The following is a 15,494-nucleotide window of genomic DNA, read 5'->3' as shown; positions in this document are numbered from 1 at the left end:
AGGATGGATGCAGAGGATCGGCCATCAGGGGGAAGAATGCAGACTGCAGACTGCTGTCGTTCTGTGTGTCAAGATAAATAAGAAGATAATAGGCCGGGCACGGTGGCTCACGCCTGTAGTCTCAACACTCTGGGAGGTCAAGGCGGGAGGATCACTTGAGCCCAGGAGTTCAAGACCAGCCTGGGCAACATAGGGAGACCCTTGTCTCTACATAAAAATAAAAAATAAAAAAATAGCTCTTCCCTTTTGTGGCCATCACCAAAGCGGCAGTGGCCAAAGTGGAGTTCAATCCCTTTGTGACTTCTGATCGAAGCAAGTACCACAAAAGGCATTTCAATGCACTTTCCCACATTCTCAGAAATATTAGGTCTTCCTCTCTTTGCAAAGAGCTGAGACAGAAGTACAATGTTCAATCCATGACCATCCGAAAGGATGATGAAGTTCAGGTTGTACACAGGCACTACAAAGGTCAGCAAATTGGCAAAGTAGTCCAGGTTTACAGGAAGAAATATGTCACCTACATTGCACAGGTGCAGCAGGAAAAGGCTAATGGCACAACTGTCCACATAGGCATTCACCCCAGCAAGGTGGTTAGCACTAGGCTAAAACTGGACAAAGACTGCAAAAAGATTCTTGAACGGAAAGCCAAATCTTAGCAAGTAGGAAGGGAAAGGGGCAAATACAAGGAAGAAACAATTGGATAAAGGAATAAAGGAATCTTGTATACAAGCTTTCATCAAAACTTGAAAAAAAAAAAAAATAGCCAGGCACGGTGACATGCCTGTGGGCCCAGCTACTGGGGAGACTGAGGCAGGAGGACTGCTTGAGCCTGGGACATTGAGGCTACAGTGAGCTGTGATCATGCCACTGCACTGCACAGCCTGGGTGACATAGTGAGACTGTGTCTCAAAAAAAAAAAAAGAAGAGGAAGAAGAAGATAATAATAACACATGGTGTTTAGACCTGCTCTGTGCCTTGCATTGTACTCACCACTGCACAGAATTATAGCCCTATATAAGCTGTGTTATAAATTCATAACCCTATAAAAATAAATTGTAGAGAAGATTGGTTGAGCACTCACCGTGTCTCAGGCATTATGCCAATATTCCATTAAATCTTCACAACAACTCTCTGGTGGAGGTATAATTGCTATTATCCTATTTTATAGATGGGGATACTGAAAAACAGAAAAGTTCAAATTTGCCCAAACTCCCATAGCTAATAAATGGCCAAGCCAGGACTCAAAGTGTCTAGTTCCAAAGCCTGTGCATAGACTCCTCATGTACAACACTAGCTTATCGCAACAGATGACAGAACTTGGGCTTAGAGGATTGAAGTAACAAAGCCAAGGGTTCACAGCCACCAGGGAGTAGAACCAGTACTCAAATCCAACCTTCTCTGAACCTGAAGTACACCCTACATTTGTCTATCATACTGCCTCCATAATAGAGGAAAAGTCTAATTCCAATAGAATAAGAAAAGTAAGCCATCCTTTGTGTTAGGAGTAATACTCAGTGATAACGAATACACTGATCAGTGGCATAAAAGGGTATCAGGAGTATAGAGATAGAGAGAACAGAGGTTAACAAATAACCACCCCCAAACCATGGGAGTGTGGATGATGGGATGGGTGACCTGCATTTTCTAGCCACTTCTCAACGCTGGCAACTGCAGCATAGCAGTACAGGGGCTGGACTCTAAGGCCAATGACACTGCCTGCAAGTCCTGGCTCTGCTGCTTACTAGTTATGTAAGCTTGGGCAAATTACTTTGCTTTTCTGGGTTTGAGTTTCTTCATCTGAAAAATGCTAACGATAACGGGGTTGTTAGAGGAATAAGTGATTTAGTCATTGTAAGTTGCTGTAAGAACAGCTTGTATTAAATAATTCCTGACCCACACACTAAGTGCTAGCATTGATTATAAAATAATTGTGTTTTATATTAATTAAGGACTTCCTGAAATATGCTCTGCTCCCAATTCTGTGGCTAATTCTTGCTGTGTATTCACCTGCTTAGCCTTGACAGGAGGCTTGCTTTTGTTTCTGTTCTGCTCTTGGCATTCTAAGCCTCAGGAATTTATGTCTTTGTCTTCCGCCCCAGACCTACTGATTTGGATTTCTTACCTCATTTTGAGCAACCTGTGGCCCACGGCCTCATGCCTCAGATTCCCAATGAGTAGATCCCTAATAATTGCTCTGAGAAGTCCTTGTTACAAACCACTTGCCACTTTGACCCTTCCTTCCCTCCTCCATAGTAGTTCAGCTCCATGGATTCTGGCATGTCTGTTGGCATGAACTAGAGTGATTTTTTACTCACTGCCTCCTTACTCTGGGACTAAACTCTGGATCTGACATTTATATTTTAGGTTTGCACCTCTATTGATTTATCCCTCATAGTAGAACTAAAACTGGTACAGCCCTTTACAATTTACAAAGCAACTCCACAGACATTACGAAATTCAACCTTGACAACAATCCTTTGAGGCAGGCATTTTTATTGTTCCTAAATATAGAAGGAGGTTCAGGCAAGATAAATAATTTGACCACAACTACAAAGAATTACTGACAGAGATAAAACTAGAAATCAAGTCTTCTGACTACACACACTGTATTCTTTTGTAACTCCAATCTGCCCATAAGGTTTGCACACTCTTCATACCAGCCCTCCACCACCCAAAGCGCAGCTATACAAATTCCCAAGCTGATATGCCCCGCCTTGACTCTCACCTCAACTTTTGTACCTACATTAGCAGCTCTTGTACATAATCACCTCCACAGCCACATGAAGCTCAGCATCCTTTATAGCTCACTAGCACTGTCTATGTGTATGGGTCCATTTCCATCAATGGTCTCAAGTGTTTCCTTGACTCAACACCTCAGAATAACATTTGACTCCTGCCTCGCCCTCACCCATCACATTCAGTTATCTATTGAAGCCGAAGATCCTTCCTTTGTGTTGCCTCCCATATGTTTCTTCTTCTTTCCGGTCACGCACCCACTGCTCCAATTCAGGTCCTCATCACTTCACCCTTGAACTATTACCATAGTCTTCTCCTTGTGTTCATTTTCTCCCTTTTCATTTCATCTGAAAGCTACACCAAATTAATCTTGGTAACATGCCACTTCATCTCTCACTGAAAAGCTTTCTGTGGTTCTGCACATCCTTTAGGATAAGCTCTCAATTTCTTAACGTGCTGTTTCCTAAACCATGTGCTAAGAAACACTAGACTCCCTGAATATTAATAGAAGCTTCATTTAAAAAAAAAGAAAAGGAAAGAAATGCTACCTGCTATCACCACTTCTCCATGTACATGCACATTCACTAAGAAACTGAATATATTATCAAGACATTGGAAGTTTTCTTAAGCCAACGTTTTCAAAATGTGTTGGACCACAGAACACTTTCTTCAGTGAAAACTTAGGAATATTCGCTTGGCATTAACATTCCACAAAAGGGTTTAAGATATTCACCTCTTCACCTCCTTGTCCCTTTCTAAACTTAGCTTCTGCTACTACCTTACACAAATCATTCCTGTCTTTACATTGGTTGCTAAGTAAATTGAACTAAGTCCTACCTTTAAGTTTGACACCACCCTTCTCTGACCACCCGAGGCATAAAGTGTCCCAAATTCAACTCACTGCAGTGTGGACCACATGTCCCAGGTTTTCTACATGGTCCTGGTTTTATGTAATTTGCCCTTCTTAATAAAGATGATTAAAACATAGCATGAAATGAACTTTTTATTTTGAGAGATTTATTTTTATTTAAAAATTTTTTATTGAGTTACAATTGACAAAAAAATGTATAAGTTTAAGCTGTACAATGTGACAATTTTATGTACATATAAAGTGAAGTAATTACCACAATTAAGCTTGGTGCATCCATCACTGATTGTAATAAGTTGCACATTAGAAAACAAATCTTTTCCTGAATTACATATCCCAATTTCCAATTTATATAGTTGGCTTGCTGTCATTGAGCACACCTATTTTTTGTATTGCTAATTTGAGGCACTCTATGTAGTACTACATTGTTAATTCTGTTTTATGTCTTTTCATATCTCTCCTAGTAGGTTAGTCTATTTTTCTCTAGTACTTATTTATCTCTCAGAGTTAGAATTTACATTGATTATAATAATGGTTCTGTGGCTACCTATTACAGACATTCAAATGGCAAAGTCCTTTTTACCCAAAATAAAAATTTCAGTTTTAAAGAGCAAGCTGACTGCCTAAGAAATGAAAACCCTGCTTTAATTTAAGGAATAAGGTCTAGTCCTTGGGCATCTCAAAGCCACAAAACTTAAAGGAAACCAAAAGCACTAGTACCAAAGTCCCTACTCTATCCACTTCCAGAGCCCTCTGGGCTTTCAGCTACTGCTTCTTTTAAAAACATACAGTGCTTCAATATAAAACAAGTGTGGGTACTAAATTATTTGTGGGTGAAATAATAGGATACTTTGGATTTGTCTTAAAACATTGCAGCAAAAATAAAAACACCAAAGGGCAGTGGAGCAAACACAGATTAAACATAACTGAAAAAATGTTGATAGGTATTGAATTGGATAATAAATACATGAGGGCTCAGCTCAGTATACTATGTTTGTATATGTTTGAAAATGTCTATAATAAAAAGCTCTAAAAATGTATAGGTGACCGATGTTTATTAAACCGGGAGGATGATGATGGCCCAAGTGCTTTTCCCATCAGCTCTGTACCCCTATGAGGTTCTACTCATTTCACTGCCGTGGTCAGCTCAACCCAGCTCCTCACTTAATCCCACAGTCACCCAGCCTGCTTTCACTACCCCCAGGCCTCTGAGCAAAAACAACCAAGGAGTAACTTCCATCAAGAGAAGGTAAGTAAATGGAGCTAGGTCTCTTTCGCTTTATCTTTTTTCCTGTTTTTGTTTGTTTGTTTTTTATTTTTGTTTTGAGACAGAGTCTTGCTCTGTCACCCACGCTGGTGTGCAGTGGTACAATCTTGGCTCACTGCAATGTCTGCCTCCCAGATTCAAGCAATTCTCGTGCCTCAGCCTCCTGAGTAGCTGAGACTACAGGCACACAACACCATGCCCAGCTGATCTTTGTATCTTTAGTAAAAACGGGGTTTAACCATGTTGGCCAAGCTGGTCTCAAACTCCTGACTTCATGTGATCCACCCACCACAGCATCCCAAAGTGCTGGGATTACAGGCATGAGCCACCGTGCCTGGCCTTTTTTTCCTGTTTTCTATCTGTTCTTCTGTCCACCAACCTATCTCCCTCCCTGTCAGCCCACCCAACTGCCCACCTGCACATCTGCTGCCCTTCCTTGCTCCAGCTCCATCAGTTTTTGAACTAGCCAAAACTCTTTGGCCAACTCTGCCCAGATCTTCATAATATTTCACCTAAAACTAGTGCAGGTATCTCAGCTATCCATCAGTTTTTGTCAACTCTTTGACTAATATTAATAATATTTCTCTTAAAATCTTTGTTATTAATTGATGCCAGGAAAACAAATCTTCTGCTTTTCTCTGCCTTCTTGTGTCCTTTTGACTCTTTCTGACAATGTAAATCCTGACTCCACTGCTGCCCCATTCCGAACCTTCTGTGCATGGTCTACTTCCAAGATCCTTCAGATGGTGCCTCATGATACACAACGTCTGGCCTTAAAGAGGCAGGGGAGCATGTAATAGAAATGAACTTCTCCTATCATAAAAGCCAAAGAAGAAAGAGATTCAAGGATACAGTGATCAAAGGGGCAAAATGCATTAGAAAAACCTATAGAGATTAAGTAGCTAGAAGAAGACTTTGATAACTAGGAAATTATTACCAATGATTAGTTCAGAAAGAATAGAAATGGATTCCAAGTGCATGTAATTCAGTCAAGAAGAAGGCATAGATAACATGCCTAACGATAAGCACAATGATAGGCAGGAGAAAAATATGAAAGAATCTTTTACAGAAAAACATTCAGACCTGGGGGTTTTCAAGACAAATTAGACGTAGGCATATTGAAAGGCCAAAAAAGGAGCCAGTGGAAGAGACTGAAGAATCTAGAAGTCAGAAGGCAACAAAACAGGGCCTTGGAAGTGACAGAAAAGACAGAGGATGAAAATACATATCAAGGTGTTGGTCTTGGACAGGGTGAGCAGACCTCTTTTGTGAGATTAAAAGGTGTTACTTTATAAGGAAATCAATTTTGAAAAAAGCTAAAGATTACTTTTTGAATGGTTTCAATGTTCTCAGTAAAAATATATTAAATTATATGAGATGATACGTGTAAAATACTTGGCACAAGGCTTGATATATAATAAATGTTCACCATGTGGTGGTCCTAGGAGACTTAACAGTAGTGTAGTAGCATTGATAAGAACAGCAGTGAACATTTACTGAGTGTTTACTATGTTCCAGGAGCTTTCCTAAGCTATTGTAGTGGTAGTGGTAGAGGGAGAAGGAGCAGGAGCAGTAATAATAAATAAAAAACATCTGTCTGAGAATAAAGTGAGCAGGATTAGGCTTGAGAAAAGCAGAAGGTTGATTGGCAGAGATATAGAGATTTCATCAGCAACTGAGCAGACAATTATTAAGCATGTATAGGAACCCACGTGAACTTTGGCCAGGCACTGGTAATCAAAAAAGTTGCTAAGTGTCTGATCAGAAGCAAAGCTAATGGAGTGGCTGAAATTATAATAAATGGGCAGTCTTACTATATAAACAAGGGTTTATAGTTAAAAGGTTCAGGAGATATCTTAGAGGATTAGTGACAATTGGTCATGGGGCTTAAGGATCTCCTTGCTACTAGCTAAGCAGAGGAATAGAAATAGTAAAGAATGGGAAGCATGGTTAGCATATTATAACATAAATGCTGAAGTCACTGAAAATGTACCAGAAGACAGATGGACAGGAAAATTGACAACAAGTTTCCATAAATGAAGTATTACTTCATTTAGGAAACTGATTATGTGACAGCAAGTAGATCAAAAATATTGTCTGCATCCCTATATTGCCCAGCCTTTATTACCAGAAATCATCAAAGATGGTAAAAGTAATCTTAGAAATTTATAGACAATGGTAACAAGACTTTCTGATATCAACTCGTGATACCATAGACCTCAAATGAGAAAAATGGATAATAAGAGAAGGAACAATCATTAGAATGGTATTAGTTATCAATAAGCAATTATGAATTATGAATGGTATTAGTTATCAATAAGCAATAAATGAATTGATAGAATGAATTCATAGAATGAATGAATTCACAGAATGAATGAATTGATGTAAGAAAATGTGCAGCACACTAAATGTGAATGGAAATTATATACATGAGACTCACACTGACCCAAATCGTTTGTAGCTCCTAATAGTTCTATTTTTTAATTTTATTTACTAATTTTGAAGGTTACTGCAAATTTTATTTTTATTTTAGAGGCAAAAAAACTAACTTTACAACAATCAGCTTATAGTAGAATATTATCAGTGATGCAGGATTGCTCTTTTTATATCCTTATATTTGGTAGTATTATTTAACATTACATGCAGGTACTCACTCTTGTGTTTTTAACATACTTGGCATTTTGCTACATTTCTTCTTCTAACTTGTTTTACTTATCATCATATTTTTGAGATTTATTAATGTAGATGTACTTAAATGTAGTTTATTACTTCTAACTACTGCATGGTACTCCACTACTTGCATATTTCACATTTTGATTATCCATTTCTCACTAATGGGCATTCGAGTTATTTCCAACTCTTTGTTGGTTCAAACTGTGCTGCAGTAAGTAAACTTCTGAGAACTTATCTTTAATATATCTCCAGAAGAGTAACTGAGGGGTGTATACTCAGTAATGAAACTGCAAAGCCATAGAATATGAATATATGTAATTTCACTAGTATTATTAAATTATTCTCCAGAATAACAACATTAATTTATCCCTCCACTCTCAGTAGAGAAGAGTTCTTGTTTCTCTACAACCTCACCAACACTTATGCTTTCCAGCATTTTAATTTTTGCCAATGCAATGATTATAAATGGGTTTCTCATTTGTTCCTGCTGGATTCATTTAATATTTTACTTAGCACCTTTTAAGCACCAAGTGTGATGCTCAAATGTGTTAAACCACCTGGCTGAAGTTGGTAATGTAGCCTCAAAGTCACGTTTGGTAAATAGTTCAAAAAGTGTCACATATGTTTATTAGTGAATTTAAGAAAACAAGGGAAAAAAACTCCAATGGGTTGCAATTTCCAGCAAATTGTAACTAATAACTGTGAAAAATATTTCTGCTCAGAGGATCATGAGAAGGAACGTGGAACCAATGCAAGATAGATGTGTGAGCCAACACACGTGGCTAGCTTCATGTAAGCCCAGCATACTCTCCAATGTGTCTTCTTAGAGTCACACCTGAACTGACTACTGATTTTCACTTAAATCTGTTGAGAAAAAGGCAATTTTGCTTTTGTTTCTTAGCAACAGATAGCTTGATCCTGAAAGTCTAATGGTAAGACGTGGTTAAAATGAAGAAGAAAGAGATTGCATGGTAATTTAAATGTTACTCTCTACCTAAAAGCAATGCTGAGAAGACTCTCTTCAAAGACTTGTCCATTCAAATTCCTCTTGTTAAACAGTTTAATTGCATCCTGTGTCTAATTTTTAAATTAATTAGTGATTTTCCTTATATAGCTCTAGAATTTTTGTCATTAATGATGTAAATATCACTTCCTGGACTATTATTTTGACTTATGCTGTCCTGTGTTAGCCAAACTATTTATTTTTATAGTCAAATCCATCAATTTTTCTTGAAAAGTCCTATGTATTTTATATCTTCTTGGTATATCTGGAGCATTTAACTGATTATTTCTCATATAATTAGCCTACTTTCCATAGAACATTTATTTTAAACTTAAAACATTTTCCGCTGATTTACGATGCCATCACCATCATTTACCAAGTTCATGTAGAGATATCAGTCTGTTTCTGGACTGTCGATCTTGTACTGTATATCTACTTATTCTTATACAAAAATGAATGTATTTTACTAATTGTTGCTCTGCAGTATTTGTTAATATCTAGAAGGATTAGTCATCCTTTCTTCTCTCCACCTTAATTCAAAAGTTAAAATCTGTGTTAACTATTTTAGGACCTTTATTTCTCTCTATATATTTTAAATCAATATGGAATTTTTCCCATGATTCTTCTTGTAATTATTATTGGAAATGCATTAAATATATTCCAAACTTAGAAAAACCGATGTATTTACAAGATAAAGTCTCCCCATTCATGAACATAGTGTATTTCTCCATTTATTTGAACTTTCTTTCTTGTGCTTTACTAGGGCTTTATAATTTTTTTATAAATCCTATGCATTAAAAAAATTCATTTCTATATATTTTATGAGTGTGTTGCTTCTTTTTATTATGGTTTCTAATATAATATTGTTGATATAGAGAAAACTTATTTACTTTTATATGTTGATCTTATGTTAGAAAATTTTGCTGAACTTTCTTATTGGTGTGACTAGTTTGCCATTAATACTCTTGCATTTTAAATGTAAATGATCATATCATCAGCAAATAATTACAATGTATTATTTATAACAATTATTTTCTTTTTCACTGTATTGACTAAAATTGTTAGCACACTGTGCTGACAGGTATCACTTATACAAAGCATATATATCTAGTTCCTGACTTGAAAATAAGTGCCTCAGATTTATCCATTAAACATGAAATTTGTTGTGGAATATTTGTACATAGGGTTTATTAGATTATAAAATTCCTGTGTATTTCTAGCTTTCTAATAATTTTCATCTTTTTTTCATGTATATTGAGATGACTCTGTTTTAGATTTTCTGGAGTTGAACTATCTTTCTATTCCTGAGAAAATTGTAAAAATGTGTTGCTTTTTAAAATGTTGAACTTGGATAATATTTTTAAATGCTTTTATCTATAAAATTAGTGTATGCATTTTCTAAATTATGCAAATTTTATAAAATGAGTTGTTAATGTTTTCTTTTTTTTCATTTTCTGAAAAAACTTACATAATATTTGGGAATCATGTCTCTCTTGAAACGTTGGTAAAATCTACCCGTAAAATTATTTTACATGGGAGTAGTGAAGAGGGCAGAGATATTATTTTTTCATAGCCATTCAAAGCCATTAATGATTGTTATTGTAAGTTTTCTGCTTTTTAGGGGGTCAATTCGGCTTTTATCTTCAGATATGTGCCTATTTTATCCACCAATACTTTTTAATAATATTCTTTTATTATTTTTAATCTCTACTAGACCTATTTTAATTTCTACCTTTTCATTTTTTATTCATTTGTATCTTTTCACTTTTTTGCTCATTGAAAATTCCAGAAATTTATCCACCTTCTTAGAATTTTCAAAAAAAAAAAAACTTATGGTTTTTGGTAACAATCTCTTTTTTGTTTCTTTTCTATGCTGTTTATTTCCTATGTATTATTTATTTTTAATAATTTAGGTTTACCCTATTGCTTTTTTCCATCATCTATATTTCTATAAATTTGTTTTAAAACATTATGCAAACCCTCAAAAGAAATTAACTTTTCCTCCTTAGGTTCATAGATAGTCATCAGATTCGTAATTTAACCAACCTCTTCTCAGCTGGAGTCAGAGAAAAGCAGTATCTTTTCTCTCTAGAAACAGGCATCCCACCAGTCAATCTACAGTCTGGTGACAAATGGCTAAGAAATGTGGAGATGAGGTAAGCATTTCCAGTCTCTGTTCAAACACAGATCCCACAGGACTCTAAGTTTGAGGAAACTCACAGCAAGAGGAGACAGAAGCACCACCAATCAAGAATCCCAGTCCCAAATAGAGAATTCCATTTGTTGACAGAACTCTTCAACTAAAGCCAGGCTCCAGCCAAAGAAAACATGAAGAAGAAAACGTCAAACTCTTGGCACTGGTAAACTTTACTTTAGTGCAGGGCTTATACACCCTGAAAATTATGTCCAAGATCCTCCTGGCACTGTTTCCAAAATTCTGAACCATGACTACACTGCTGTTTGCGAATAATATCATCACATTCGTGACTCTTAATCGCCACGGAGGCCTGTCCAGCCCGAATCTTTTCTCAGCTGGTTTTCACTTTACCGGGAGACTATGCGCAGAAAAAGAATGAGAAGGAGAAGGAACTCTAAGTCCTGAAAGCTCAGTCCCAGGAAAAGTTGAGAGGGACTTCTAGATTGGAAATTGTGTTGATCATGGCTGTACAATATAATAGGTGATATTGGTGTGGTGCTTTAAGATTAACAAAATGTTTTCATGAATAGATCTCATTTAAAATCTCAAAACAATCTGCCAATTAGACACAGTGGGTATTAATATTCCTATATTTTAGTCATGTGATCTAGGTGAGGTAAATTCTTTCTGAAAGTATACATAGCCAAAAAAAAGCTGCCCAAATGAGTACCATTCAACCCTCCCCATTACCTTTAGCATAAGAGTTGTGTAGGGACTGACATAATTGTTTGTTATCAATAGGGGAAGTCACTCTACTATATCATAGAATCCTTTTCCATGTAAATATTCTACAATGCTGTACATGTGCGAAGTGGGAGATAGGCAGAACACAAGCCTGTGGTTTGCTCAGCGGAAAAATGGAGACCACAGACTCTCCCAGGGTCTCTGTTTCTGGTTTTGTCTCATGTTTCCAAACTCAAGCACCTTGGAGCACAGCAAGGATAACCTTCTGGACCCCTTCTTTTCTCTAGCTATCCTCATTCTCATAGTGATCTCCAGTTTTATCACTTTATTTTTTATTTTTGTTTTATTTATTTATTTATTTATTTATTTTTTTGAGATGGAGTCTCACTCTGTCACCCAGGCTGGAGTGCAGTCGCACGATCTTGGCTCACTGCAACCTCTGCCTCCTGGATTCAAGCAATTCTCCTGCCTCAGCCTCCCGAGAGGCTCAGATTATAGGCATGTGCCACCATGCCTGGCTAATTTTTTGTATTTTTAGTAGAGATAGGGTTTCACCATGTTGGCCAAGCTGGTCTCGAACTCCTGACCTCAAGTTATCCACCCACCTCAGCCTCCCAAAATGCAGGGGTTACAGGCATAAGCCACTGTGCTCAGTCCAGTTTTACCACTTTAAATGCCACCTACATTTGATGACTTCAAATTGGTACTCTAAACTGGACTTATCCTGTGAACTACATGTAGATCACATGTCCATTGAGACAGATATCCAAGTGGATCTGTCTAAATACCCATTAGACAGATCCACTTGGGTATCTAATAGACATCTCAAACTTAGCATGTCTTGCACTAAACCTCTGATCTTACCTCCTCTAAAACTTTCTCTACCTGAGGCTTTCCTCCTTTCAGGTAATGATACCTCTCCACTTCCTGTTGCTCAAGGAAAAAAAAAGTCACTCTGACTCCTCTATTTCTTTACACTCCTTAGCTAATCCATCAGAAAATCCTGCTGGCTCTATATTTTTATTATATCCAGAATCCACTTATATCTCACCACTTCTACAGTGAATCTTATTCAAGTCACGTTTTCCCTCACCTGAATTATTTGAGGCTGACTGCTTTGCTTTCACCTGGTCCCATACAGTCTGTTCCCAACACAGCAGGCAGCATGATCCTTTTTTTACCATCCTGTCCTGAAAGCCCCAAGTGGCTACCCATCACACTCAGAATAAAGCCTAGTTCCCACAATCACCTGGAAGGCACCCCCAACTGGCTGTCCATTATCACTCTTCTGGACTCACCTGCTGCAATTCCATCCTTGCTTACTCCACCAGAGCCACACTGGCCTACTTGCTGGGATGGGAACATGCCAGACCTGCTCCCTGCTCAGAGCCCCGACTAACTAATTCTTCTGCCTGTAATGTCCATCCCCGACATAGCCACATAATTCACCTCTTTACCGCCTTCACGTTTTGCACCAAATATCACTTTCCCATGAAAGCCTTCCTCAAACATTCTATTTAAAATTGCATGCCGCCCCTCACATTCCCCATCATCCTCCTTTATTTTACCCCACTGGACTTATCACTTTCTAATATGCTACATAACTGACTTAATTTGATGATAGTATATCTCTTCTCTCTAGAATATAAGCTTCATGATGACAGAGCTTTTGGTCTGTTTTGCTCACTGATCTGTGCCTCAGTATCCAGATCACAGCCTGACACATAGTAGGTACTCAATAAGCATTTGTTAATGAATCAATGAATGAATAAATTAATTAAAACATGACCTCTAGAGTTCTATGATTCTGACATACATACACACAGGCAGGATCATAATCACATACTCAAAAGCAAGCCTTAAGCTCTCAAAGTTGAGAGGATCTGCCCGAATGGCAATCCACTGGTGCAGGCTTCCTACAGCAGTTTCCTGCAGACATGTGAGAGTTAGGGAATTCATTCATGCATCTGGACAGCCAGCTGCCTGCTCTAGCCATTGAACAAATGAAGACATCTTAGACCTGTGGGCACCTGATGCTTCACCATGGGATCTAGAGGGGGCCGCCTGGTCCAGCATGCGGAGGTGGGAATTGCTGTGAGAGAAGCAAGAAGCACTCTAGGGAAAGTGTGTGACCAGTGGGACAGACAGCACACTGGGCAGGTGGGCGGCTTGAGATGGGAAGAGCTGTTTTTCTCTGAACAGCTGCAGAGGAGTTGTCTGTGTGCCAAGCCCCTCCTAGGTCTCCAGCCTTGAAGAGGGTTTTTGTGGTGAGTAATTAATCACAGGACGCTTTTGCTCTGGCCCTCCCTTTGGAAGAGACTAGTATACTCCTCTCCTTCCTATCTCCCCACCCCTCCAGGGAAATAAAGGAAGCTAAGGTTATAGTTCTGACCAGACATAGCTCATCAGAAGCTACTGTGGAAATCCCCATTCTGGCTGCTCACCCTTCTCCCAGACTCTCCATCTCTTGTTTTTCACCGTTCAAGCTCTCCCTCTCCTCCACACCTGCCCACGGCATCTCCACAGTCTCCTCTCTATTTTGCCTGGGAGCTCTCCCACCTCCAAGCACCATGAACTGAGTCCCTCTCTGCCCACCTCCAAGTTGTTCCTCTCTCTGCACCCAGGTAAGGAGAAGCCTGGCATTGGGGGGATTGGTGGGCAAAGGAGAAGGAAGCACCAAGAGTAGAGCATGAAAATAAAGAAATCGAAACACTTTCCAGCTTGCTTTGCCCACAAGAGACAACTCCTTGTGACACGAGCATCTGTTCCCACGCAGCCACCCTCCTTCCACCGGATCTGGCGCCCCACATCAGAATCACGAAGCACACAGTGTTTTGTGTGCTCCAGCCTGTGGCACCCTCCAGTCGCGGGTACACTGAGGTGGAGTGAGGCGGGAGGAACATGAGGCAGCTACCGATGCCAGGACTTGGAGGTTCAGCTTCCATTTTTATCAAATGATTTTGCCCAAGTGCATCCGTTTTGCCTCAGCTTTCCCATCTAAAAATAGGAGAGTCTTGTCTTCTTCTCAAGTGCACAGAGGATTGCATGGTGAGAGGCATCCAGTGATGTGTTGTTTCTGTAGAATAATCTGTAAAAATAGAATTGAGGAAAATATTATTTCTTCAACTCTTAGAAGCAGAATAGAGAATATTCAAGAAGATGATATCCTTGATTATTTTTCAGCTCCATGGGAGAACAAATATTTGACCTCAGACAAAGCCTAGGAAGGAAAGTCTCCATGTATTACTCCTTTGTCTTGGTCAAAGAACAAAATCCCCAGGCCCCAGACCACATCAATAACAGGATCCGCCACTGAAGAGACTCCCCACTGATGAGACTGGGCCCCCCTCAGAGCCCAGCCTCGGGCCTCCTGAATCATTTAGGCATTTATTGCTCTTTCTCAGCAACCACAGGGATCTATTCTGGAAACACTAAGGCAGGCAATTGGATGGCAGGGAAATGATCCCGTTGGAAAGAGCCCCCGAAGCCAAAATCACTCACATCACTCTCAGGGGTGACAGATTTTCCAAGGGGCCTGCAACTTTCCGATGCAGCATTTGAAAATAATCAGCCACACTCCTGGAAAGTGGCTTGCCTGGGAGATCAACATCGTTTTTCTCACCAGTGTTTACTTTTGCATTTTGATGAATGATGAAAACACCTTGGCAGTACTGAGATAGCCTTGGTTTCCTCATCCAGGCAGCTCCCTTGCCCTGGTACTTCATTCCAGCTCTCATCTATGGCCAGCAAGAAACAGAAAAACATCTTTTAGAAGGAGGGTCTTGCTGGGTTTTCGAGGGAGATCACTTGCTGTTTTGTAGCACAAAATGATGTTTAGAAGTTTAAAGTATGTTCAAGTCTACTAAAATCAACTTCATGGAAAATGATAGTTATTTTTAGAAACAAATTTTGAAAACAAACTAGCTTCCCTATTAAATGCTAATATTTCTCAAGTAGATAAAGTAACTAATCCTCAGGCCTAGGGTCGTTTTCAAAATGTGAAAGTACAATATCATGCATCTATGTGTGATGAAGTTGACCTTCACAGCACCAGAACTGGGACAGT

The 15,494-nt window shown here is 38.8% G+C and overlaps 1 long non-coding RNA gene and 1 pseudogene across 1 annotated transcript in view, besides 1 other annotated feature; one reads left to right on the top strand and one right to left on the bottom strand.

The window, feature by feature from the left end:
* RPL26P22 (ribosomal protein L26 pseudogene 22) lies at positions 237-753 on the top strand (annotated as a pseudogene).
* Positions 9,998-15,494, bottom strand: part of EPHA1-AS1 (EPHA1 antisense RNA 1) — a 115,637-nt gene continuing 110,140 nt past the window's right edge. Inside the window, exons 4-5 of the long non-coding RNA NR_033897.1 lie at positions 14,930-15,165; positions 9,998-14,516 (exon numbers count right to left, since the gene is read on the bottom strand). This is a non-coding gene — a long non-coding RNA (EPHA1 antisense RNA 1). The remainder of the gene's footprint in view (positions 14,517-14,929; positions 15,166-15,494) is intronic.
* Positions 11,477-11,771: a silencer, noted in NCBI's record as "tiled region #13206; HepG2 Repressive non-DNase unmatched - State 24:Quies, and K562 Repressive DNase matched - State 9:DNaseU". NCBI's record gives its function as "represses a minimal TATA promoter and a strong SV40 promoter by Sharpr-MPRA in HepG2 and K562 cells {active_cell/tissue: HepG2 | K562}" and the evidence as "EXISTENCE:reporter gene assay evidence [ECO:0000049][PMID:27701403]".

This window comes from Homo sapiens, chromosome 7 (genome assembly GCF_000001405.40).
Source record: "Homo sapiens chromosome 7, GRCh38.p14 Primary Assembly".
In the NCBI taxonomy this organism is placed as follows: domain Eukaryota; kingdom Metazoa; phylum Chordata; class Mammalia; order Primates; family Hominidae; genus Homo; species Homo sapiens.
Note: the sequence above shows the minus strand (reverse complement) of the source record. Positions and strands in the feature narration are given on the sequence as shown.